This window comes from Homo sapiens, chromosome 10 (assembly GCF_000001405.40).
Source record: "Homo sapiens chromosome 10, GRCh38.p14 Primary Assembly".
Lineage (NCBI taxonomy): Eukaryota > Metazoa > Chordata > Mammalia > Primates > Hominidae > Homo > Homo sapiens.
The window spans coordinates 70,732,640-70,755,801 of NC_000010.11; the positions used below are offsets into that span (position 1 = coordinate 70,732,640).

At 53.5% G+C, this 23,162-nt stretch overlaps 1 protein-coding gene across 11 annotated transcripts in view, besides 5 other annotated features; it reads left to right on the forward strand.

The window, feature by feature from the left end:
- The window catches only part of ADAMTS14 (ADAM metallopeptidase with thrombospondin type 1 motif 14), an 89,936-nt gene that overhangs the window by 60,134 nt on the left and 6,640 nt on the right, over window positions 1-23,162 (forward strand). For 4 of the 11 annotated variants that reach the window (NM_139155.3, NM_080722.4, XM_011539302.2 and 1 more), the window contains 12 exons: window positions 1,246-1,389; window positions 2,530-2,662; window positions 4,041-4,154; window positions 6,203-6,351; window positions 8,348-8,523; window positions 10,909-11,042; window positions 11,427-11,550; window positions 12,587-12,667; window positions 17,183-17,346; window positions 18,839-19,007; window positions 19,456-19,588; window positions 21,161-21,368. In NM_139155.3, coding sequence (NP_631894.2) covers window positions 1,246-1,389; window positions 2,530-2,662; window positions 4,041-4,154; window positions 6,203-6,351; window positions 8,348-8,523; window positions 10,909-11,042; window positions 11,427-11,550; window positions 12,587-12,667; window positions 17,183-17,346; window positions 18,839-19,007; window positions 19,456-19,588; window positions 21,161-21,368 — 1,729 coding nt within the window. The other 7 variants (XM_011539309.2, XR_001747025.2, XM_011539306.3 and 4 more) reach the window with 7 other exon arrangements.
- Window positions 4,884-5,383: an enhancer, noted in NCBI's record as "H3K4me1 hESC enhancer chr10:72497279-72497778 (GRCh37/hg19 assembly coordinates)". NCBI's record gives its function as "activates a minimal SCP1, AML or CMV promoter by ChIP-STARR-seq in naive H9 embryonic stem cells {active_cell/tissue: H9 hESC(naive)}" and the evidence as "EXISTENCE:reporter gene assay evidence [ECO:0000049][PMID:30033119]".
- Window positions 6,519-6,688: an enhancer, noted in NCBI's record as "experimental_17283 CRE fragment used in MPRA reporter constructs". NCBI's record gives its function as "activates a minimal promoter by MPRAs in K562 erythroleukemia cells, with activity observed for both the introgressed and non-introgressed 10:72498999 variant alleles {active_cell/tissue: K562}" and the evidence as "EXISTENCE:reporter gene assay evidence [ECO:0000049][PMID:34662402]".
- Window positions 9,894-10,188: an enhancer, noted in NCBI's record as "tiled region #12298; K562 Activating DNase matched - State 5:Enh, and HepG2 Activating DNase unmatched - State 4:PromP". NCBI's record gives its function as "activates a minimal TATA promoter and a strong SV40 promoter by Sharpr-MPRA in K562 cells, with weaker activation in HepG2 cells {active_cell/tissue: HepG2 | K562}" and the evidence as "EXISTENCE:reporter gene assay evidence [ECO:0000049][PMID:27701403]".
- Window positions 10,428-11,231: an enhancer, noted in NCBI's record as "H3K4me1 hESC enhancer chr10:72502823-72503626 (GRCh37/hg19 assembly coordinates)". NCBI's record gives its function as "activates a minimal SCP1, AML or CMV promoter by ChIP-STARR-seq in naive H9 embryonic stem cells {active_cell/tissue: H9 hESC(naive)}" and the evidence as "EXISTENCE:reporter gene assay evidence [ECO:0000049][PMID:30033119]".
- Window positions 12,763-12,932: an enhancer, noted in NCBI's record as "experimental_17317 CRE fragment used in MPRA reporter constructs". NCBI's record gives its function as "activates a minimal promoter by MPRAs in K562 erythroleukemia cells, with activity observed for the introgressed 10:72505243 variant allele {active_cell/tissue: K562}" and the evidence as "EXISTENCE:reporter gene assay evidence [ECO:0000049][PMID:34662402]".

Consider the following 23,162-nt stretch of genomic DNA (forward strand, 5'->3'; position numbering starts at 1 on the left):
TTTGGGTGGGTCAGTGGCAGTGTCCCCATCACACGCAGAGGCCTGCTCTCTCTGGGTGGTCTTGATCTCTGGCTTCCCTCCATCACGTCCACATTTGAGGCCTTTCTAAGACTTGATCCAGCCCACCCTGATACTCAGCACTCATTGGAGTGCTGGCCTGAGCCCACTGTAAACAGGTGCACTTAGAGCTTAGGCGGTAGGCCAGGCAGAGGCTGGCTTGCCTGATCTTAGGGCTTTGGGTTTTGTTTAGAGTGTGTTCATTCATTCAATATTTCTTGAGCACCTACCATGCACCGGGCCCCATTCTAGGAATGAGGCTACAGTGGAGATCAGGACAGAGAAGCCCTCAAGAGGCTACATGCTGGGTGGACACAAATGAGCTACTGTTCAGTAGGTCATGCCATGTCACAGGGGCAGAACCAAGAGACACCATCAGCCCTGTTAGATTTTATCCCAGCTCTGCTCCTCCAGGCAGGTGGGACCTCCTCTCCACACCTGCAACATGGGGCTGACACCAGGGGAACCTCTGAGGCCCCTCCCTGTGGAGACACAAGGTCAAGCTTATAGGCCTGTGTATCTGCCTAGCAATCAAAGCCAGATGCAGCCATCTGGGAATGTTTAAGAACTTAGAATTCTTGGGATTTGGCATTAATGACTAATTGTGAAGAGCAAACTTTTAAATGTAAACTCTTATTATGGTAGGTGCCTACCATGTGCAAAGCTCTGTGCCCAGCCTTGCAGAGTCTTGGAGAGGCTCAAGAGGCAGGCGCTGACAGGGGCTCAAGAAATGAGGTTGAGTTGAGTTGAATGAAACCTGGTCTTTGCACTCAAAGGCCCTCTGTGGGAAGCCAGCGAATGGCTATGAGTTTTTAATGGTGGGATAGATGGCTCCTGCTGTGGAGGTGAGCCCACAGGTGAGACAGCTAGGACCAGTGGCCGAGTGGGGCTTGATCTGGCCTTGGAAGCTGTAAGAACATGGGTGGAGCTCACAGAAGGGGTGGGTGTCTGGGAGTGGTGAACAGCAGGAGCGAAGGCTTGGAGGGCAGGATGAGCCCCGTCCCAGTGGGAGCAGCCTTGGAGAGAAGATTGGTCCTCCCCACTACGTGGTTGGAAAACTGAGGCCAGGAAGAGCGATCTGAGCTCCGGGTCAGGTCAGGGTCTCCTGCTGCTGGCCTGCCTGCCTGCCTGCCTTCCCGGGGCAGGCTCCTGGGATGTATCAGGACTCCTCTGTCTTCCCCATTCCAGGCTCGGCATGGAGCATGACGGTCAGGGGAATGGCTGTGCAGATGAGACCAGCCTGGGCAGCGTCATGGCGCCCCTGGTGCAGGCTGCCTTCCACCGCTTCCATTGGTCCCGCTGCAGCAAGCTGGAGCTCAGCCGCTACCTCCCGTAGGTCATTCCTGCCCTCAGAGCTGGGATAGGGGAGCATGCGACCTGCCACTCTGAGCAGACATCACACAGCTGGCTGGCTTCCCCACGTTGCCCCTGGCTTGACTCTTCCGTGACTCATCTCGCCTCCCCGCCAAACCTGGCCTAAAACATACCCCATTAGCATAGCAGGTGGGTTAGTCTAGTGTTTCAGAACGTGTTCAGGTGACCATTTACATAGAATTCTTATTAAAAATGCAGACCCCCTGGCTCATGGAAGATGGTAAGTTAGATTCTGCTGGGGTTGGGTCTAGGAAGCTGGATTTATCAAGCATTGCAGGTGATACTTATGCCTGCTGAAGGTTATGAGCCACTGGGCTGAGGCTTGGGGCTCTAAACCCAGTGGCTCCTAACGACCCCTTTGAGCCCACCTGGCCCCAGCCCCCAGAGCTGCCCGGGATCGACTTCTCAATGGATGAACAGTGCCACTGTGGCTTTCCCCCAGGCCCCAAGGAAATGGGCATGCTGAGGAGGGAGCTCCTCCTCTCCCCACTCCCATCCTTGGCCCCAGCAGCACACTCCCAATTCCGGCCTGGCTGGTCAGCTCCTGGGTCTTCAAGGATGTTCAGGTACAGAGCAAGTGTTAGACTCAGGACCTTGAGGCCTGAGAATGGGAGGCCAAGTGGATTTGGATGGGGGCAGGTGGAGGCAGAGATATAGTCACTAGCCCCGTACAGGAGCTGGCCAGGGCGGCTCGCCCAGGGTCCATCTTGCATGGTAGGCTTTTCTCCTTCTTTCAGTACAGAGTGAGTCCTCAAACTGTCTATGAATCAACCATTAGTCTTGGCCATATCGTGTCCCTCTAAGGTGGGCAAAATGACCTCCTAATCCAGCTGCAAGCTGAGTATCTAATCCCAGTCTGGGTACCCTTGCCTTTGGCTGCAAATGGAGCCCTTCCAGATATAGTCACTGGTGGGAGTGAGGTCCTGAGTGAGGGGCTGCTCAAGGCAGCCCGTCCTCCCTGGAAGAGACAGCGCTGGGAACAGAATAGCGGGTGCAAATTCTTGCAGGCCTTGCTCATGAAAACCCCAGCCCCTGGGAAGGGAAAGCCTGGGACTTCCTGCTGTCAGCCTGGCTCACCTTCCTTGTCTCTACTGGCAGCTCCTACGACTGCCTCCTCGATGACCCCTTTGATCCTGCCTGGCCCCAGCCCCCAGAGCTGCCTGGGATCAACTACTCAATGGATGAGCAGTGCCGCTTTGACTTTGGCAGTGGCTACCAGACCTGCTTGGCAGTAAGTAGCCATCTGGCCTCTGCCAGGTGGTTGGGGGCCAGGGCAGTGTCCTTCTGTGGCCCATGCTGACCATTCATGAGGTGCCTTCTGCCCAGCTGGCCAGTGGGCCTGGTGATGGGCCCACAGACACAGTGCCAGCCACCATGCAGGGATGCAGAGTGAACACCTGTGGGGGCAGGTGGACACAGTGGCTTGGGAATGCATTAGCCCTGGGAAAGATGGGAACAGCAGAGCAGAGAGGGTGGGCACCTGATGGGATACTGTCTGGATACTGCAAGGGAGCCCAGGTTCCAGATAAGTTGTTGGGCTCTGGCCTGGTGGAGCAGCAGGTCCCACACCCTCCGGGGATGTGCCAAGTCTTTCAGTCTAACTCCCCACCTTCTGCACCTGCACATCACCTCTCTCCAGAGCGTCAGTTCCATGTCCCTGCTGCCTGTGCCTGAGGACATAGATACAAGGGAGCATAACCTTGTCCCTACCCTGCAGGATGGCACAGGGGAAGACTGCTGAGCCTGAGATCAGCTAGAGTCCCCTAGGAGAGAACTCAGCAGCTGCCACCCAGGGCCCAGGCTGAGCTGTCAGAGAATGGGCCATCTCAGGGGTAGGGGGCTTTCTGAAGGGGGCAGGCCTTGGGGACCTGAGTGCTTCATACTACCCATCAGGGAATGCAGCTCTCTTCACCTCCGTGGAATGGGGAGCGCCCCCAACCATGTGTGGACACCTTCCCCACTGTCTGGGACATGTGGTCTGACAAAGTGCCTGAGTTGTGGGCAGAGGACAAGGACATGGGATTTCAGGGTCCAAATGCTGTACTTGTAGGATGCTTGTCTGGCTGGCAGGGGATAAGAGGGAATATTAAGGAAGCTATGGCTTCTCTGGACAATCTGAAACGTAAGGTCATCAACCTCTGGCATGGCTGGGTGTCCAAGTTACAGGGAGGTGGAGTCCCAGCCTCGTTGGAGTGCTGGGGTGGGGGGGGTCTGGGCTGGAAAGCAGCAGTCCCCTTAATTCTCCCCATGTGCACAGGGCTCAGGGCAGGGGCACTGTGAACCCAGACCTCCCCAGAGCCTCACGCCCTAGTCCCAGCTCAGTGACAAATGGCCTCTGTAAAGCGGGGGAGGGAGGCCTTGGAGAGAGAACGACAAGAGCATGGGCCATGGCTAGGCTCTTTCTCAGTGCCATGGAGAAAGGAGGGGTCCCTGGAGGCTGCCGGTACTTGGAGTTGAGTAAACTTGAAGCAGGTGAGGGGCTCTGGCTGCCTTCCCTGCAGTGCCCTGGGTGCCTGCACTCATCACACCCTCTTTTCTCTCCATCACTACCCTTTGTTCTTGGACAAAGAGCCAGTCCAGTCTGGTGACCCCATTCCCTTGCCATGCAGTTCAGGACCTTTGAGCCCTGCAAGCAGCTGTGGTGCAGCCATCCTGACAACCCGTACTTCTGCAAGACCAAGAAGGGGCCCCCGCTGGATGGGACTGAGTGTGCACCCGGCAAGGTACCTGTGGGGTGTGCAGCAGGAGTGGCCTTCCTGGGGTGCAGGGCATCCATCACTGGCATGGGGGTGGATCCCAGAGTGAACCCTGACCCCTCCCTCCAAGTGCTTATATGAGTTGAGGGTGGTGCTAAAAGACAGTGGTGAGTCCAGTGTGTGGGTAAATACACGTGGAGTCTTCCCATAAACTCACCCTGTCTTCTCTCCCAGCCCACAGCCCTTTGTCTCTGTAATTGGCTGAGGGTAGCATGATCTCCTAGCCCATCTGACAGGAAGGCTTACTTCCATTTTACCAATGAGAAGAATGGGGCCCAGGCAGGTTGATTAAGGAACTTTATGGGGTCCCTCAGGGAGTGATTAGCAGAGAAGGGATGCAGAGAAATCTCTGTGTGTCCTGCCTACTCCCCCACCCCTATGCTGTCTCTGAGCATGAGACACACGTGTTCTCCCCACACCAACCTCCTTCATGAATGTCCTGTGTTTGCTCCCTCATGCATGTGTGGGTGCCAGGGCTTCATTTGCCCGGGGGACCCCGTGGCTGGGTCTGAAACCCAGCTCTGCTCTGCTGCCGGCCCTGCCCTTGATCACTGTGGTGACCTTGGGCCGTTCATTGAACTTTTCTGACTCGCCAACACCTGACCAACCTCAGGGTTGTTCTGAGGTAACTGACTCATGTCAAGGCACGTGAGGGAGCAGGGAAGAAGCCAGGTGCTAGGAGAGGTGGTTCCTCAGCATCAGCAGGAGCCCAGCCCCAGGGCCACCCCACCAGCCTGCCCCCTGCCTCCTGCCCTAGCCAGGCTCCTCCTATTCACACCTGTCCTGCTGAGCAGCTCTGGGGCTTGTCCTGTCACAGGTGGATGGAGCTTCCCCTGGCCTGGCAGGTCCTTGATGGGTTATAGCTGTTCCAGGTCTTTCCACTTCTTAAGTTTTCCCAGGTGTTTTCAAAGTTCCAGACCCTCCCCAGCCACAGTTTCACGAGACAGTTCATCAGTGGTTCTCTATCTGGGCTGCATATTGGAATCATCCTGGTAGTTTTAAAACCCCTCCTATAGAACAAGAAGTGACTGCAGATGAGCACGGAGAATATTTTTGAGGTGATAAAAATATTCTCAAATTGGATTGTGGTGACGATTGGACAACTTTGCGAATTTATGAAAAGTCATCGCATTGCATACTTGAAATGAGTGAATTCTATAGTACGTAAATTACACCTCATTATAGTGCCTCCAAAAGTTCCTACCCCTAGTGATTCTGACTCAGTTGGTCTGGGGTGAAGATCAGGCATCTGAAGTTGTAAAATCTCCCCAGGTGATTCCAAGGTTGAGAGCCACTGAGTTCATCTCTTGGGAGATGAACTTTGCCCAGAGAGCTTTGTGCATTTTTTTCATGCTACCCTGTAGGAAAAGGGAAGGGAGTTGCCTCTAGTTGAGCCCTCCCTTATTGCCTGGCCCTGTGCTAAGGCCTGTATAGATATGAGAGCAGTCCCACCTAACAGGTGGGTAAACTGAGGCTCAGCAAGCTAAAGTAGCCACACGTAGCTAGTATTGCTGAGCTGGGATTCAAACCCAGGAATCCTTCATGCATACACTCCTTCCACTGCATGCACAGACCTCCCTGCATGGCTGGTCTGCCTCCCAGAAGCACATCTCATGATCCCTGGAAGGTGATTTTGAGATACAGAGCCAAGATCAACTCTAGCTAGTGTGGGAAGATTGTGTCTTCTCTCCCCTATCAGCCTTTTATTACTCCCGGGTGTGCCGATAATTGCACATTTATTATCACTGTTCATCATAAGATCTGCCATTTCTGGAGGGCCTTGTATACTGGGTATGATCTCATCAGAAGCTATGAGCAGGTGCAGTTACCCACATTGTCCAGTTGAGGAACAGGCCCAGAAAGGCAAGCCTTTTGTTTAAGGCTGCTCAGCTCATGCTAGGGGTGGGATTCTGCCTAAACCCAGGCTCATGCTCTTGCTATCCCTTTTTCTGGCTCCCCGGGTGGGCTCAGCAGCAGCAGCCCAGGGTGACCTCATGCCCTCTGCTCTGCCCCAGTGGTGCTTCAAAGGTCACTGCATCTGGAAGTCGCCGGAGCAGACATATGGCCAGGATGGAGGCTGGAGCTCCTGGACCAAGTTTGGGTCATGTTCGCGGTCATGTGGGGGCGGGGTGCGATCCCGCAGCCGGAGCTGCAACAACCCCTCGTGAGTGTGCTTGGCTAGGGTGGGGAGGGCAGGGAGTCCCTCCCCAGGGCGGAGGGGCTTGGAGGGGAAGGCACTGGGGAGACAGTGCAGGAGAGAAGGGCCCCTGTGGGTGGTTGTGTATGCTAACGCATGAGGACACAAACTTGTTGGTGGAGGCAGATCACTCCTACCTGCATCCACTAAGAACCCTCAGGTCTGCCTTCTGTGCGTTTGTCTGAACCAGTGGTTCTCAAGCTCATGCGCAGAAGATTCCCCAGAGTCTGGGTGGCCCTACTTCTTCATGCGTGTAACAAGTCCTCTCATGACCCCGACCCTCTGGCTAAACTTTGAGAAACACTGATCTAAGCTCTTTGTTGGAAGAATCAATTTCCTAACTTTGTTTTCTACCACATGGAGAAAATCTCCCTTTAATTTTTCTTAACTCTTTCTAACATCAAAGCTCCTTCCCCTCTTCCCCACCCCTGAGTTTTAGCATTCTGGGGGAGATGTCCATTCTCCCTTCTCATCCCCTCTATAGGGACCTTCTCCCCAACTCCATGGTTTTGGGATATCTGAGCCCTAGTTCTCCATCTCCATCTCCAAGCAGAGGCAGCCTGTTTAGAACAGCACCACGGGAGATGGGGACTGGCCAAGGCCAGCTGCATGGCTTGGTTGGCTCTAGGAATGCAGGAGTTCTGAACCCCCACAACAACAGGGCCTGGCCTGACCCCTCACAGCACTGAGGGGTATGATGAAGACTGCGGAATCGCAAAGTTGTAGGGTCACAGTGGCTCTGGTGTCCTCAGGAGTGGTCATTCATACTGTTATTTATCGCTAGGGATGGGAAACTCACTGCCTATTGAAGCAGCTGTTCCTTTGTTTTAGAGAATATAGCCGTATAGTTAATATGGACAGCTATATTGACCTTCTACACACATGAACCAAAATGGACTGCCTTGTAACTTTCATCTGTCGGGAATACAAAGTCTGTGGTTATAGAAAAGCCCAGGGGTCCCTGTTCTGAGTAAATCACCTTGCAGGCATGACCGACAATTATCCCTTGGTATAATTGGTATCAAAGCTACCATTTATTGAGCTCCTGTGTAATAACAACTATTTTTATTTTATGAGGCTTAAATGAAATAATATGTGTGCTCTCAGCACCATGCTCACACAAATTAAATACTTAATGAAAGCTGCTGTTATAGTAATCATTATTATAGTATGTCAAGCACTTTGTGCTAGGTGGGATGCTAAGCACTTAGGTACAAAAATCTGTGCAATTCTCCCACATGTCTATGAGTAGGGTACTGTTAACCCCAGCACTTGGACACTTTGTATCAAGTCTTACCCAATCCTCTTGACTTAATGAAGAAGAGAGCATAGATGACTATAAAATACCTTTTCTTACTATTCTTCACAGACACACCAGGAGGTGAGTAAAATAAGAGGGATTATAGTCCCTGTTTTCAAGGGGAAATTAAGCCACAGCAAGGCTAAGTGGCCTGGCCAAGGTTGCACTGTCAGGACTTGGAAGCCAGCTCTTCTGATTCCAAATCCAAGTTTCTTTTACCACTCCTTAGTTTATGATGATATTAAGTGGAAGTTGATGCAAATGGGAGTGGCTGAGTCGTTTATGGGGGCCTGCTCTATGCCAGGGCCTGCAAAACAGTTGAAGGCACCCACAAAGATGAGTAAGATGGATTTCTCTTCCAGTCCAGCTGGAGAGGGTTAGTCAGTCCCTGTGTCAGTCTGTACATCTGTCCGTCACACTCACCGTGGAATAGGTGGTGTATGTCTGAAGGGTAAAGCAGTCAGGGAGGAAGAAGGATCTGGATAGCTCTTCAGCTGAGCTCCACAGCCCCCACCCTGGGAGCCATTCTCTGGTTTATGTCAGTGGAGGCCCTTGTCATGCTATTATGAATGGCTGAGCTGCTCCTGGTGGCTGTGTGGGAAACCTGGCCCTCCCCAGCCTTCCCAGCCAGCAAGGTCATCCATTTCTCTGTGTCTGTCCCAGCCCAGCCTATGGAGGCCGCCTGTGCTTAGGGCCCATGTTCGAGTACCAGGTCTGCAACAGCGAGGAGTGCCCTGGGACCTACGAGGACTTCCGGGCCCAGCAGTGTGCCAAGCGCAACTCCTACTATGTGCACCAGAATGCCAAGCACAGCTGGGTGCCCTACGAGCCTGACGATGGTGAGTGGGCCCCACCCCCCTCCCACTCCATGTCCTTAGGCATCTGCGGGGGCTGTGTGTGCCCAGGCAGGGCCTCCTACCCCTACATACACCAGTGAAGGTGGAGGGACAGTGGGGGTGCCAAAAGGGACACTGAAGTCAGCGGGCTCACCATATACCCTTTTGTAGGCCTGTTCTTGGTATACTTCTGGGGTCATCATCCCCATCAAGGCCATCCCTGATTTGTGTACTTATGATGACAGTTTTCTGGCAGATGCAAGGAAAGTGTCTTGAGGAAGGGACACTTCACACACAGGTGTTGCCAAGGCCGGCAGCAGTGTTGGCTGTTAGGGTTGCCTGCCTTTCGTCTTCTGTCCCTACCTGCAGGGAGAAGAATTATATAGGTGCAGGCGCCCTTCCCGTTGCATGACCAGTGTCCTGAGGAGCTCAGTCCTATTACACGCTGTGTTTTTAGGTTTTACTGATTGGGTTGTGGTTTCAGCAGAGTCGATGAGATGATTTTGGAAGGCACGCAGATAGGATCTGGTGGGATCTTCATAACGACTCTCTAGGCTGCCCTGGGACATACACAGGACTTCTAGACTCCTGTAAAGAGTCTGAATTTGGGGACCATAGTGGTGCCAGTTCCCATCTATTTTTGAGTGTTTCCAGTGATGGCTCCATAGCGGCAGAGCATCCAGTGAAGGGTTGGGATTCGTGGCAAGTCAGAGCCTCGGCTGGAAGAGCCCTCAATGATCCTCTGATTCCAGCTTTCCCCTGCCAGCCTCTCCATGGGTCCTCCATGGACAGATGCTCATTCTCCATCACACAACTCTTGGCCCAGACAGCTCCCATCAGGACGGGCTTTCCTCCCTGGAGCCTGGGCTCCACCCCAGAACTGTCAGCTCTTCAGCTCTGGTCTAGAATGACAGACTCTTCAGGTTGGAAGGGACCTCAGAGGCCTGTCATTGCCAGATTCTTCCAGAGCATCCTTGCAGGGGGTGTCTTCTCTCTGCTTGGATTCCTCCTACTCTGGGGAGCTCACCACTCCCTTCGCACTGTTGCTGCCCAGAGAGCTTCCGTTGCTGCCCAGAGAGCTGCCTGCCTGGGTCAGGATCCTGCCTGTCCTGGGTTGGAGCTCCCCCAGACCCAGGTCCCTACAGGAATCTGGTTCCTGTGGATGAAATCCAAGGTGGTCTTGGAGGTTGTGGCTTCCGTTGCTGCCTAGAGAGCTGCCTGCCTGGGTCAGGATCCTGCCTGTCCTGGGTTGGAGCTCCCCCAGACCCAGGTCCCTACAGGAATCTGGTTCCTGTGGATGAAATCCAAGGTGGTCTTGGAGGTTGTGGCTCCAGACTTGAGTCCTTCATGCTGGAGACAAGGAGTTACCAGCTGTGCTGGAGCCCAGGGACCAGAGCAGAGCCCAAGAGTTTCCTTAGTAATTGGCTGAGGGAATCTTGGTTTGAAAGCCTTCCAGATCCATTCAGAAACCAAACCAGCAGCCACAGCGTTGGGGAGAGGAGGGGCTGGGAGGCCCGTGGGGCAGCTGGACTTTGGGTTTTTCCCAGGACTGTTAGACGAATTCCAGGAAGTTAGCTAAGCCCCCAACTTCCTTTTTTCTAAGAAGCACAGTAAGTGTTTATATATGCTCTGGAACCTCCTTTTTAGGATATCTATAGCCCACATAAAGAAGGAAACATTTAATTGTTAGGACCAGAAAGGACTCTCTTTCTCCCTGACTGTTGCTCCATTTTGCAAACCCAGATACAGACCACTTTTCTGCCTTTTTTTCACGCAGCCTTCTAATGTTTACAAACATGTTAAGACGCATGTCATACATGTGCACAGTGAAGTTTTGTAGGGGTCAGAGCAGGACTCAGGCAAGACTGCTAAGGTTAGAATCCAGGCTGAACCACTTATCGTGTGGTTGTGTGGACTTGAGCAAGTTCCTTAACCTCTCTGGTCCTCAATTTCCTCCTCTGTAATGCTAGCACCTACCTCATTGAGGTGTTGAGAGGGTTAAATGAGTTAATTCATGAAAAGCCATTAAAGCTGTATTTTAAGGGCATGTGAAGGTTTTAGAAATATCTAGTACATAGTAAGCATTCACTAAGCATTGGCTTATTATTACTTTATCACTTGATTTTTCTCAATAAGCCGATGTGGCATTTTACTGATTAGGGATAATAAAAATAGGGAACAAAGGCTGGGAGAGGTCAGAGCATTTACCCAAGGTCACATGGCTAATAAGTGACACAGCAGGGATTTTCAGCCCCCGTGCCACACCCAGTGCTCCCCCAACTGTCCAGAGCTGGCCCCGGAGCTTTCTGGCTGGACCACATACTGATCTGTCCTGGGCCACTTTCTCTGAGCCCAGCTGGGGACTCAGCATAGTCCCTCTCCCTACAGACGCCCAGAAGTGTGAGCTGATCTGCCAGTCGGCGGACACGGGGGACGTGGTGTTCATGAACCAGGTGGTTCACGATGGGACACGCTGCAGCTACCGGGACCCATACAGCGTCTGTGCGCGTGGCGAGTGTGTGGTGGGTGCACCCCCAGCCACCCCGACTACCGGCACAGGGAGACTGGAGGGCTGCACTGTAGCCCCTCCTGCCTGGGAAGATGAGCATTGCCTCACCGGCCCACTCGCAACACCCTGTTGGTCCTCAGCATAGCCCTGGGGTGCTGGAAGGGGCTAATTATTGCTCAGCCCCATTGGAGGGGAGAGGAGATGGCAAGAATCCTCATCACGCCGGGTGTAAGACCTCACCCAGGTCCCACGGTGAATTCGTGCCAGAATCCTGTCCAGGGACATCTCCCAGGCCAGAGGTCTTCTCCTGACCAGGGCCTGGGGATGGGAATGGGAGCCCCGGGGTGGCGGTGGGGGCAGGGGAGCCTCCTCCCACTGACCTCACCTCTGGCCTCAGCCTGTCGGCTGTGACAAGGAGGTGGGGTCCATGAAGGCGGATGACAAGTGTGGAGTCTGCGGGGGTGACAACTCCCACTGCAGGACTGTGAAGGGGACGCTGGGCAAGGCCTCCAAGCAGGCAGGTGAGCCGGGCTGGGGCTGGGGGGATGACGAGGGCTGACTGGAGTTCTTGCCGTCCCTCAGGGGGCCCTCCCTCCTTGAACTGTGCCACAGTCTGGGGTGGGGAGAAGGGGCCCTGGGGCCCATCTCCAGGCCTTCCTGGGCTGCCCAGGCTGGTGAGCCAGGTGCTGCAGCCAGTCACCTCACCTTTCAGGCAAGCTCCTCCCTGAGTTTGGGGCCCAGGAGCTCCAAGAGACATTTTCCCGCTAGGTAAAGTTTTGTGATGGGAGCTCGGCCATCCCTTGGACCTTGGGACTATTGGTGGGTGGGAGGCATCAGACAGATCTAAAGGTGTAGCCAAGACTGGACTGATAATTTTCTTTTCCTCTCTCCTTCCTTATTTTTTTTTAAACCTGTGGCACTTTCTGCTTTGAATTCCTGGTATCTTTGAGTTCCTTGACTTTCCTCTCTACCTCCAATCTGACCAGACTTGCTGTGGAAAAGAACCAGATATCAGTCCTTCACACTTTAGTATAAATGGGGCCTATTTTCCCTTGGGAGATGTTACACTTTGTCTCACCTTTGATTGTTGGGGACAAGGTTGGTGGCTCTGAGAAAGTCCAGGCCTTGGGTCGGGAGGGCCAGGGCGGCTCAGGACAGTCATGTGGAGTCTTCATGGCCTTTATCATTTAAATCCCATCAGTAGCAAGTAGCTTAAGGTGTGAGAAGAAGCAGGGAGAGAGAGTCAGAGGAGCAAAAAGGGACGGGGGGAAGGGCAGAAGTGAGACGGAGAGGAAGAGGGTCAGGAAAGAGGGAAGTAATAGCAGCTCTCACACACACGGAGGCCCTTAGAGTTTACAGGACATGTCTCATTCGATCCTCCCAGCACCCTCATGGAGAAGGTCTCATCCTCAGTTTACAAATGAGGATACAGAGATTCAGAGAGGTTCTGTGATCAAATGAGATGTTCCTGGGTGCCCAGTGAGGGAGTGGGGGACGCTGGGCAGTGGGACCACCAGCTTAGGATGCTCACGACTTCTGGATCCCTGTGTGTGGCAGGAGCTCTCAAGCTGGTGCAGATCCCAGCAGGTGCCAGGCACATCCAGATTGAGGCACTGGAGAAGTCCCCCCACCGCATTGGTGAGTGCTGGGGTGCTGGGAGGGGACAGCAGGGCCCCAGGCCCTGCCCTCTGACTTGGGGGAGCTGGGAGACCAGAGGACAAGATTCTAGTACAAGTGGAATTGTACTAACTGGAGTAATGGGCAGAGACCCCCTTTTCATTTTATTTTAAATTTATGCTGCATGGGTAACCCATTCCATGGTTTACATTTCAGAAGGTCTCAAAGGGGACCTAGTAAAGAGTCCCCTTTCTACCCCTGTACCCTGGGGGCAGTTTTCTTCCCTAAGGGCAACTACTGTTAATAATTTCTTGTGCACATAGATGGCTGTTAAAGGAAAGCCATGTTCACAGAGTGTATCAGTCAGCTTTTGCTGCCTAACACACCACTCCAAAACTTAGTGGCTTCAAACAAGAATAATTCTTAGCTCACGGTCCTATGGGTCATCAGTTTGGGCTGGGCTCTGTGGGGTGGTTCTTCTACTTGTCTTCTTGGACCAAGTCATGCAGATGCCCTCAGCTGGTAGGTCTCTGGGAGCTGGTTGGTCTAGGATGGCCTCGCTCACATGTCTGGTGGTTGGTACTGGCTGTCAGCTGGGGTCATGGAGGTGGCAGGGCTGTGTCCTCAACAGGCTAACCCAGTGTTATTCACATTATATCTGTCACATAGTCCTCAGGAATGGCTTGTGTCATGTTTTCTAGCGTCCCATTAGTCCAAATCACATGGACAAGCCCAGATTTAAGGGGTAGAAACATAGACTAGCTCTTGATGGTAGAAGTGGTGAAGTTACTGTGCAAAGCAGCATGCATAGAGGAATAGGAGGAATGTAGAGGCATTCTGCAGTCTACCACACAGGCCCTTACATTATTCTCATTATAATCATACTTAAACACCAAGCCACTAAATGAGGTGACACCCTTGTGCTTGTAACAGTTATCTAACTATGAAGCTAGGCTCGATTAAAAATGAGAATACCACAATAAGTTAATAAATTTAAATTAAGGCCATTAATATAATATGAGTGATGTTTTGTTTCGTTTTTGCTGAAACTAAATTGGCTGTCAAAAAATGGACATGTCCAGAGAGGCAAATCCACAGACAGAGAGAGAATAGATCCGTGGCTGCCAGGGGCTGGGGAAGGAAAGAGGCATGACGGCTAATGGGTATCAGGTTTCTTTTTGGGGCGATGAAAATGTTCTGGAATTAGACAGTGGCAATGGCTGAATCTACTTAAAAATCAGGGCAGGCGCAGCGGCTCACGCCTGTAATCCCAACACTTTGGGAGGCCAAGGTGGGTGGATCGCTTGAGCTCAGAAGTTTGAGATCAGCCTGGGGAACATGGTGAAATCCCATCTCTACAAAAATAAAAAATAAACAATCAGCTAGGCGTGGTGGTGCATGCCTGTAGTCCTAAGCTAGTTGGGGGACTGAGGCAGGAGCGTCTCAAAAAAAATTTTTTTTTCACTGAATTGTACACCTTATTCGAGTGAGTTGTATGGCATGTGAATTATATCTCGGTTCAAACCCTGTGAGCCTGGTTCAGAGCAGGGTCCCGGTGGCAAGTGGGCAGAAGGCTGCTTCTCCCACACTGGGCAGTGGTGTCTGTGTTCAGACCCCTTTGCAGAGGACGTGCAGGCCACAATGTCCCCTTGAAATGTCACAGAGGCCCCTCTTACCTATTACGTCTGCCAAGTCACACTGCTTGGTGCCAATTTCATCATAAATGGAAAAACAAAACACATATCTCTTGGCAGGCTCACATCACACACAAATGCTGCCATTCATATTTTTAGATTATCATCAAAATAGCAATTTGTAAATACCTTCAAAGTTTCCTGGATAACTTGCATTTCCTGGAGAATGCATCTGCATTGGCACCTCCCCTTAACACAGCTCCAGTGGGCTCCTAAACTTCTATTCTTGAAGGCATCTGAAAGGGCATTGTCCCATCAGGCCATAGGCACAAGGGGAAACTGAAACCCAAAGTGGATTGGGGGCCTCTGTATGCCCTGATTCATCCATGAGGAGTATGGGCAGAGCCAGTCTGGGCCCAGGTCTCCTGCCTCTCAGCCCTGTTCCCTTGCCAGCCATGCCACTCTACCACAGCGAGCCCAGGTTAGAGGACATTGGTTCAGGCAAGTCCTGCCTGCTGTGCCTGCCTGGCTGTGGGGAATGTGCTGGAATTAGGGGCCGGGGGAGGGAAGGGGCAAGGAGAGAAGGGACATCTATTCCAAGAAGAGGTGGAGCTCACGGACACTGCATCCCCAGGGGATGATTTCAGAACATTAGCAGCCCCTTCCACCCTCTGCTGTCTCCAGAAATCTAGTTCTTCGATCCCCAGGGAAGAACTAGTCTTCTGTGGAGGTCATGGCAGAGGCTGCTAGCATCCGGGGCAGGCCGAGTGCGGGCTTGCTTGCCTGTTTGTCGGGTGAGTTCCCTGAAAGGTTAGAGTTTTCCGGGGAGCCTGGTGGGGAGAGCGAAGCAGTGGCGGCCCAGGAGCTGAACTCTGAAGTTGGCACAGGTTGTGTGATTATACAGGTGTGAGGTGCACAGTGGCCTTCAGTGAAAACGTGTGAATATGTGTGTGTGAGTGTGTGCATGCACGTGCATGCACGTGTAGGGGTGTGTGTACCCAACAGGATATGTAGAGGCCCAGGACAGGTGGCAGCCCTGGCGATGAAGGGAGAGGCTCTGTCCATTGTCATTAGACTCTCCTGGAATTGGGGACATGGGGTCTTTGAAAGGAAGTGTAGGGAAGAGAAGGAGAACTCATGCTGTTAATATCTCCCATGCGCTGGGCCATGAGCTGCCACTTTTCATGCGTATGTTTAGTAAGCCTCATGGCCATCTATGAATATTGTTTTCCCGCTTTGCAGTTAAAGGAAACTGAGGCTCAGAGAGAGGTTAGATACAGAACAGGTCAGTGGTGGAGCCTGGATTCGGGACTGGGTCTGGACAGTGGAGAGTTTATGGTGGTCCACCCCCAACGGTCTGGAATGAGGGGTGCATAATCAGGGCTCTGCTACAGTGAGGTGCAGGCACAGTCAAAGGCAATGGGAGAACTGGAGGCTGCACCTGGCCTGAGGAGCTGCCCAGCCTTAGCTTAGACAGTCTGGAGCTGCTGGGGACTGAGAGCGATCAGGGAACCTGAGGGAGAGGCCTGGGTGGGCAGGAGGCGAGGGGCATCTCTCCAGCAGCCTCCCAGGAAGGGGCGAGGCTCTTCTTTTTCCACCCCTCTTCCCCACCCTCACCCTGCCCCTACATTGCTCCTGTCTCTCTGGGTGCCTGGGCTCTGGCCCAGCTCCAACTGTTGCCCACTGTGTGTCCAGGACACTGTGTGTCTAGGAGTCTCCAATTCCCCATCTGTATTAACAATAGCCCAGCCCTTAGGATGTATTTAAGGATTGAACTGAAGCAGTTGGCAGAGTGACTGGCACATAGTTAGTGTTCTCGGATCCTTAGCTCTTATATGACAGTTATGACCATTTAAATCTGTCCCAGGTGGGAGCTCTGTGGGCCCTTCCACCTGGACACCCCAAGGCTCTGGAGCCTTTGCCCTCCCTACTTGGCTAAGGTGCTTGGGTCTCAGGCTGCTGGGCCCTAGGAAGTCCAGGGTGGCCAAAGGTACCACTCAGGGGCCTTGGCCAGGTGTTGGCATCTACATGTCTCCCACCCACCTGCCTCCCGGGGTCTTTTGGTAATAAGTTGTGAGTTACTCACTGACTGGGACATTAAGGGGTAGAAATTTATGGATTTTTAAAATCTCTGCCTCTGTTCCAGGCCCTGTGCTGGGCTGAGGACACCAAGATGGAGATAAGCCAACAGGCCGCTGGGAGAGGTGTGGCATCTGCAATCACAGCAGTGCCAAAAGTCCAGTACTTTTCTGGTGGTCTAGCGATAGTGCCCACTGCGCATCACTACTTGCCAAGCTGGCTATGTTTATGAACTCTTCTCGTTGTCCTGAGAGCCTCAGTCGTGGGGCGCGGGGATTTCTATCATCCTCCTGGGGCAGCAGCAGCCCTGCGAACTGGGTACAATGATCATTCCCATTCTACAGATGGTGAAACTGAGGCAGCACAGTGGGGCTGAGTAGTTTCCTCACCATCAATCCGACTCCAGAGTCTGTACTCTCAGCCTCTATGCTCTGCTATAGAAATTCTAGGGAGGGCAGAATCCCTGAGGACTGGGCAACCAAAGAAGACTCCCTGGAGGAGAGGAGATTATGCTGAGCCTCAACCATGGGTAGAGGTTAGTTAGGCAGGAAGAAAGGAAGGCAGTAAAGGTGGGAGGAATGGTGTGCACTAGGATCCAGAGGCAGCAAGAGTGTGTGTGTGTGTGTGTGTGTGTGTGTGCGCGCACGTGGGTTTGACAGGGAGCGTGTTGACCTGTCTGACTCGGGAGGGCTTGGGTGGGAAGGAAAGGCCGGTGGACAGGAGCCCAGAAGGCTCACTGGGAAGGCCTTGAATTTCATATTCATGGCCCGCCCCCTGTGGAGAGGAGCAGAAATCTGTGTGACCCTCTCCCCCCACCGGTCAGTGGTGAAGAACCAGGTCACCGGCAGCTTCATCCTCAACCCCAAGGGCAAGGAAGCCACAAGCCGGACCTTCACCGCCATGGGCCTGGAGTGGGAGGATGCGGTGGAGGATGCCAAGGAAAGCCTCAAGACCAGCGGGCCCCTGCCTGAAGCCATTGCCATCCTGGTGAGCCCCACTCTGTGCGGTGGCAACCCCTGCCCACCCCACTTGTCCCCTTAGCTCGCTACATCTGCTGCCAAGCCAGCGTGACACCATTCTGGTGTCTTTAGGAGCCTGGGCAAGGGCAAGGCACCTTCCATCCTGGGATTAGCTCCTCATTTGTGCTTAAAAGCCTGCAGGATGGCAAGTGAGGAGAGATAAAGACAGTTGTCTCCTCACTGTCAGACCCCAGATGTTACATGCAGGGAGCCTGCTCTCTTTAAGGCAGTCTTGGAAATGGAGCCTGGAGGGAGGTTGGGCAGGGCTGGGTCATCCTGGCATAATCCCACATCTGTGTGCATCGTAGCATGGCTGGCAAGGGAGTCCAGGAGCAGCTTCCTCGGGCCTTTAATGCAGCTGATCCAGGAGCTCCAGCCTCCTGAAAAGGGGACAAGAGCCTGACTGGGGCACATCTCTGCCCATACCCCCCTTCCTAGAGCATGGGCCAGGGCTTGTGGAATAGGGATTAACCCAGCAGACGAGACCATTAGGAGTTCTGTCCATGGTGCCCTCAGCACTGGCTGGTGGCAGGGTTACCTTGGATGGGCTTTGTTCCTGGTGTCACCCTCACCAGCTGGGGGGCTCCTGGAGGACAGGCTCTGTGGCCTATTGGTGTCAGCATATCAATTCAATCCAGCATATACTTTTGACTCACCTTATATTTGTTGACAACCCATACATCTATGGCCAGGTGATTTTCAACAAGTGTACCAAGGCCATTCAATGGGGAAAGAATAGTCTCTTCAAAATATGGTGCCGGGACACCTGGATGTCTACATGCAAAAGAATGAAGTTCTACCCCTTCCTCACACCATACACAAATATTAACTCAAAATAGATCAAAGACCTAGATATAAGAGCTTAAACCATACAACTCTTAGAAAAGAACAGAGGGGCAAATCTTTATGACCTTAGATTCTTAGATACGACAGGCACTAAAAGCATACACAGCAAAAGAAAAAATAGATAAATTGGACTTCATCAAGATTGAAAACTTAAGTGCATCAAAAGACATTATCAAGGAAAGGAAAAGACCACCTGCAGAATGGGGGAAAATACTTGCAAGTCATATATTTGATGAGGGTCAGTATCCGAACCATTCTTGTTAACTGCCTTCTAGAGCCAGGCAGTGTGGATGCTGCAGTGAGCAGAACAGACAGACAGACAGCCAGCCCTGCCCTCCCATCAGAACTGAGGTCTATGAAAGGGAAGAGCATTCCTAGGTGCAGTGGCTGCCCTTGGGCCTGGCACACAGCAGGTATCCAGCCTGAGTTTGTCCTATGGCAGCTGGTCTGAATCCAACCCCCTACCATACCCCAGCCATGCTGGGCACAACCTCATCCTAGCTTTCACAGGTTCTGCTCCGACCCTAAGGCCTTCTCTTCGGCCCCTCCCCTCCCAGTGCATGCCGCCCTTGCTTCTTTCTCTGGTCCTGTGCCAGCTCCCCATCTCCCCTCAGGCTCTCCCCCCAACTGAGGGTGGCCCCCGCAGCAGCCTGGCCTACAAGTACGTCATCCATGAGGACCTGCTGCCCCTTATCGGGAGCAACAATGTGCTCCTGGAGGAGATGGACACCTATGAGTGGGCGCTCAAGAGCTGGGCCCCCTGCAGCAAGGCCTGTGGAGGAGGTACCGGTTCCCTGACCCGCCAGTGCTTTGTTGGGGCAGCCCAGGATCCCTTGAGAGGCAGGGGTGGGGGACTGATGTTGTCTCCATTTGATGTGTCCTTGCTTATGACTCAGTTTCTCCTTGAAGATCTCCAGTGTGTGGAAGCCCGTTTTGGGCAGGGCCTTTGGGATGAGGCTGGGGGTGCTAGAGCCATATCCGGGCAGAGCTTCTACCCTAAAAGAGCTCACCCACTGTGGGGACAGACAGCTGTCCAGAGCCACCTTCTTACCAGCGAGATGGAGCTGATCAGGAAGGCGTCCCTCAGAAAGTGACGTGGGCAGGCGGGGGCATAGGCAGAGGGAGGTGGGATTGGCCCACAAGGCTCTCCACAGGTACTGCCCCTGAGGCCCCACCAGGGCAATGGGGGGCCTGGCTGGACTAGGCCCACGGCAGCCTGCCCACCCCATAGGGATCCAGTTCACCAAATACGGCTGCCGGCGCAGACGAGACCACCACATGGTGCAGCGACACCTGTGTGACCACAAGAAGAGGCCCAAGCCCATCCGCCGGCGCTGCAACCAGCACCCGTGCTCTCAGCCTGTGTGAGTGCTCCCAGGGAGGGACGGGGAGTCTGGTTCTATGCCTAGCCCGGGCCCCAGGCAGCGGGGCTGCTGAGCCTGCTCCCCTCAGCACTGGGTTATGGAGACACGACCATACAGGCAACACAACTTTCAGTGCTTCTGGGCTCCAGGCCCAGGCCAGGATGCTGACCTCTACCTCTTCTCTGCCTGATCGTCAGGAGTCCAGAGACATGGCTCAGCCTGCCAGCCCCCAGCCATGGTCCAGCCCCTAATTGGGATTCCCTGGCTTGCGGCTACATGCTCTTCTGAGCACAAGGATGACCTTGGGATTATTTAGGGGAGAGACTTTGGGGAGAGGAGAGAGCTATGCCTGGTGGAGGGCTCATGGCCAGGCCTCTGAACCTGTTGCAGAGCCGGCCTCAAGACCTCCTCAGCCTCCACCAGGCTTCCCTAGTACACCCCAAGCAGACTGAGGCCGAGGGTGGCTGGCTGGTAGCAGCCACAGAGGGCATCGCCCATCCTCCTGCTTCCCCAGGAGTCCTCCCTGGTAGGCGTAGGGTGCTGCCTGGGTCTCGTCAGCTTCTGCTCCCCTGGGCTGGGGGAGCCCCAGGGCTGGGCATGTAATTGGGGCAAGGGTGGGAACCGGTGGCCAGCGCTAGAGGCTGCTGTGGCCTCCCTGTCTGTGCCCAGGCCAGGCCATGATAACCAGCCCCTCCTCTGCCCAAGACAGCTTCATAACCAGCCCCCTGTGCTTCTCTTTCACTTGTTCCTTTGTATTGTTATTCAGACTGATTTTCCCACAAATGCCTGTAATCACAGAACATGCAGTTTAGCTCTGCCTGAGTTCCTGGCCGGTATCCCCCAGCCCCTACCCCTTTGGGGTTTTAAGGAAGAGGTTGACTTAGGAAACCTGCCTGGAAGTGACTAAAAGATGCCTTGGGAACCCAGGGAGGAGTAGGAGTCGAGGCTCTCCCTCCTTCCATCCTCACCAGAGCAGTTTCGTTTCCTCTAATGCACCCAGTGGGCATGCGCTTAAGATGCTGTTGGAAGTTGCTCAGTGGCTAAAAGACACTTGCAGGCCACCAGCATAGCTACTCTATGTGGAAGCTCTGTGGATGATGATGGTGACAGTAACAGTGTTCTTGTCCCAGGAGCCCCATGGGAAATTGGGGGATCTGCCTTGAAAGTGTGGTTTGATCTGTTTTGTGCCCTGACGCTTCTCAGCACCCAGGACAGTGCTTGCGCCAGTGGGCCCTCAAATATGTATGCGGCTTTGAAGTAATCGTGATGTGAAGATGGGGTAACTGAGGCTTAGAAGGCTAATAGCTTGCTCGAGGACATGCAGGGTGCTAGGATTTAAATACACATCATGCCTGTTTTTCAGACGAGACACAGCAGGAGAGAAGAGTGCCCTTCCTGAGGTCACATACCCAGTAGCTGCAGAGCCAGGTGGACAGTTGTCCTAGGCCTCAAACATTCTGAAACCCAAACCCACTCTCTGGCTCCTGCCTGCAGCTGTCTGGGGATAGAAAGTGTCCTCTGGGATGAAGTGCCCCCTTGGTCTCACCTCCTCTCCTTTCACCCTGTTTCCAGGTGGGTGACGGAGGAGTGGGGTGCCTGCAGCCGGAGCTGTGGGAAGCTGGGGGTGCAGACACGGGGGATACAGTGCCTGCTGCCCCTCTCCAATGGAACCCACAAGGTCATGCCGGCCAAAGCCTGCGCCGGGGACCGGCCTGAGGCCCGACGGCCCTGTCTCCGAGTGCCCTGCCCAGCCCAGTGGAGGCTGGGAGCCTGGTCCCAGGTGACTTGTCCTCAGGAGGTGGGAGGGGCTTGGGGAGGAGGTGGGTCTGAGGGATTTTTTTGGTGTTCCCTGCAGGCAAGAGAGTTTCTGCCTGAATGGCTCCCCCTACATCAAATTTTGTTTTCCTTAAAGTAGAATAGCTCCTACGTACCCTGGGCCGTGGCTCTGTGCTAGGCCTTTAGGTTCATTCATTCCTGCCAGTAAGCTTCACACAGTGCCAGGAGGCATGGGTTCATGTCCCTGTGTTCCAGATGAGCAGACTGAAGTACACTCTTGCATTCCAGAAATACTTGCTGAGCACTAGCTGTATGCCAGACCTTGTACTAAGAATGAGGGAACCTAGCATCAACCAGACAGAGCTGATTCTTGCCCTCGTGCAGCCCACAGTCCTGTGAGGGAAATGTATTAGGCCATCAACCCACAGCCAAGCACTGACAGACTGCAGTCGGAGCTGGGTGGGGAGTAGTGGGTCGATGTGGTGGAGGATGGAGGGCGGTCAGAGGGCTTCTCTGAGGAGGTGTTGCTCAAGCTGAGACCAGAGGGACAAGCCACAGGAAGAGACCAAGTCAGGAACAATTTTACAACGTTCCAGAAGCCAACAGGACAGTGGGGCTGGAGCTGACTGGGAGGGATAGGGGCTGCGAGATAACACTGGGGAGGCAGGCGGGGGTCCATGGCTACGGGCTTTGCAAGGGGTTTGCATATATTCTAAGAGCAATGGGAAACCAGGGAAGCCTTTTAACATGGGCATTACAAGCTCTGATTTCAGGTTGTAAAGATCACTCTGACGGTGCTGTGGAAGGTTGAGCGTTAGACAGTCAGGGTAGCGAAGGGGAGATAGCAGTAGCGCTGCTTAGTTATTTGGGTGCTCTGTGGCTCAGACCCTGGAGGCCACCTTCGGGAAACTGCCTTGACGAAATTGTCTTGGGTTTTCTTTTAAATACTCATTTGATGTGAACATTGAGAACATCATGCCAAGTAAAACAAGCCAAGCTGGATGCAGTGGCTCATGCCTGGAATCCCAACACTTTGGGAGGCTGAGGTGGGCAGATCTTTGGGAGGCTGATGTGGGTGGATTGCTTGAGCCCAGGAATTCGAGACCAGCCTGGGCAACAGAGCAAGACCTCGCCTCTACAAAAAATGTAAAAAGTTAGCTGGGCGTGGTGGTGTGTGCTTGTAATCCCAGCTGCTCTGGAGGCTAGGGTAGGAAGATTGCTTGAGCCCACGAGGTCAAGGCTCCAGTGAGCTATGACCATACCATGCCACTGCACTCCAGCCTGAGTGACAGAGCAAGAGCTTGTCTCACAAAAAAAAAAAAAAAAAGAAAAGAAATAAGCCAGACATCCAGACATGTAAGGACAAACACTCCATGAGGGCACTTTGCTGGTGATTTCCAGGGGCTGCTGGAGGGTGAATGAGGGGTTAGTGTTTAATAGGCGAGGAGTTTCAGTTGGGAAAGAAGAAAATGTTCTGGAAACAGATGGTGGTAATGATTGTACAACAATGGGAATGTGCTTAATGCCACTGAACCATAGACTTAAAAATAGTTAAGATGGGCTGGGCGCGGTGGCTCACGCCTGTAATCCCACCACTTTGGGAAGCCAAGGCAGGCAGATTGCCTGGGGTCACGAGTTCAAGACCAGTCTGGCCAACATGGTGAAACCCCGTCTCTACTAAAAATGCAAAAATTAGCCGGGTGTGGTGGCTGGCGTATGCCTGTAATCTCAGCTACTCGGGAGGCTGAGGCAGGAGAATCGCTTGAACCTGGGAGGCAGAGGTTGCAGTGAGCCAAGA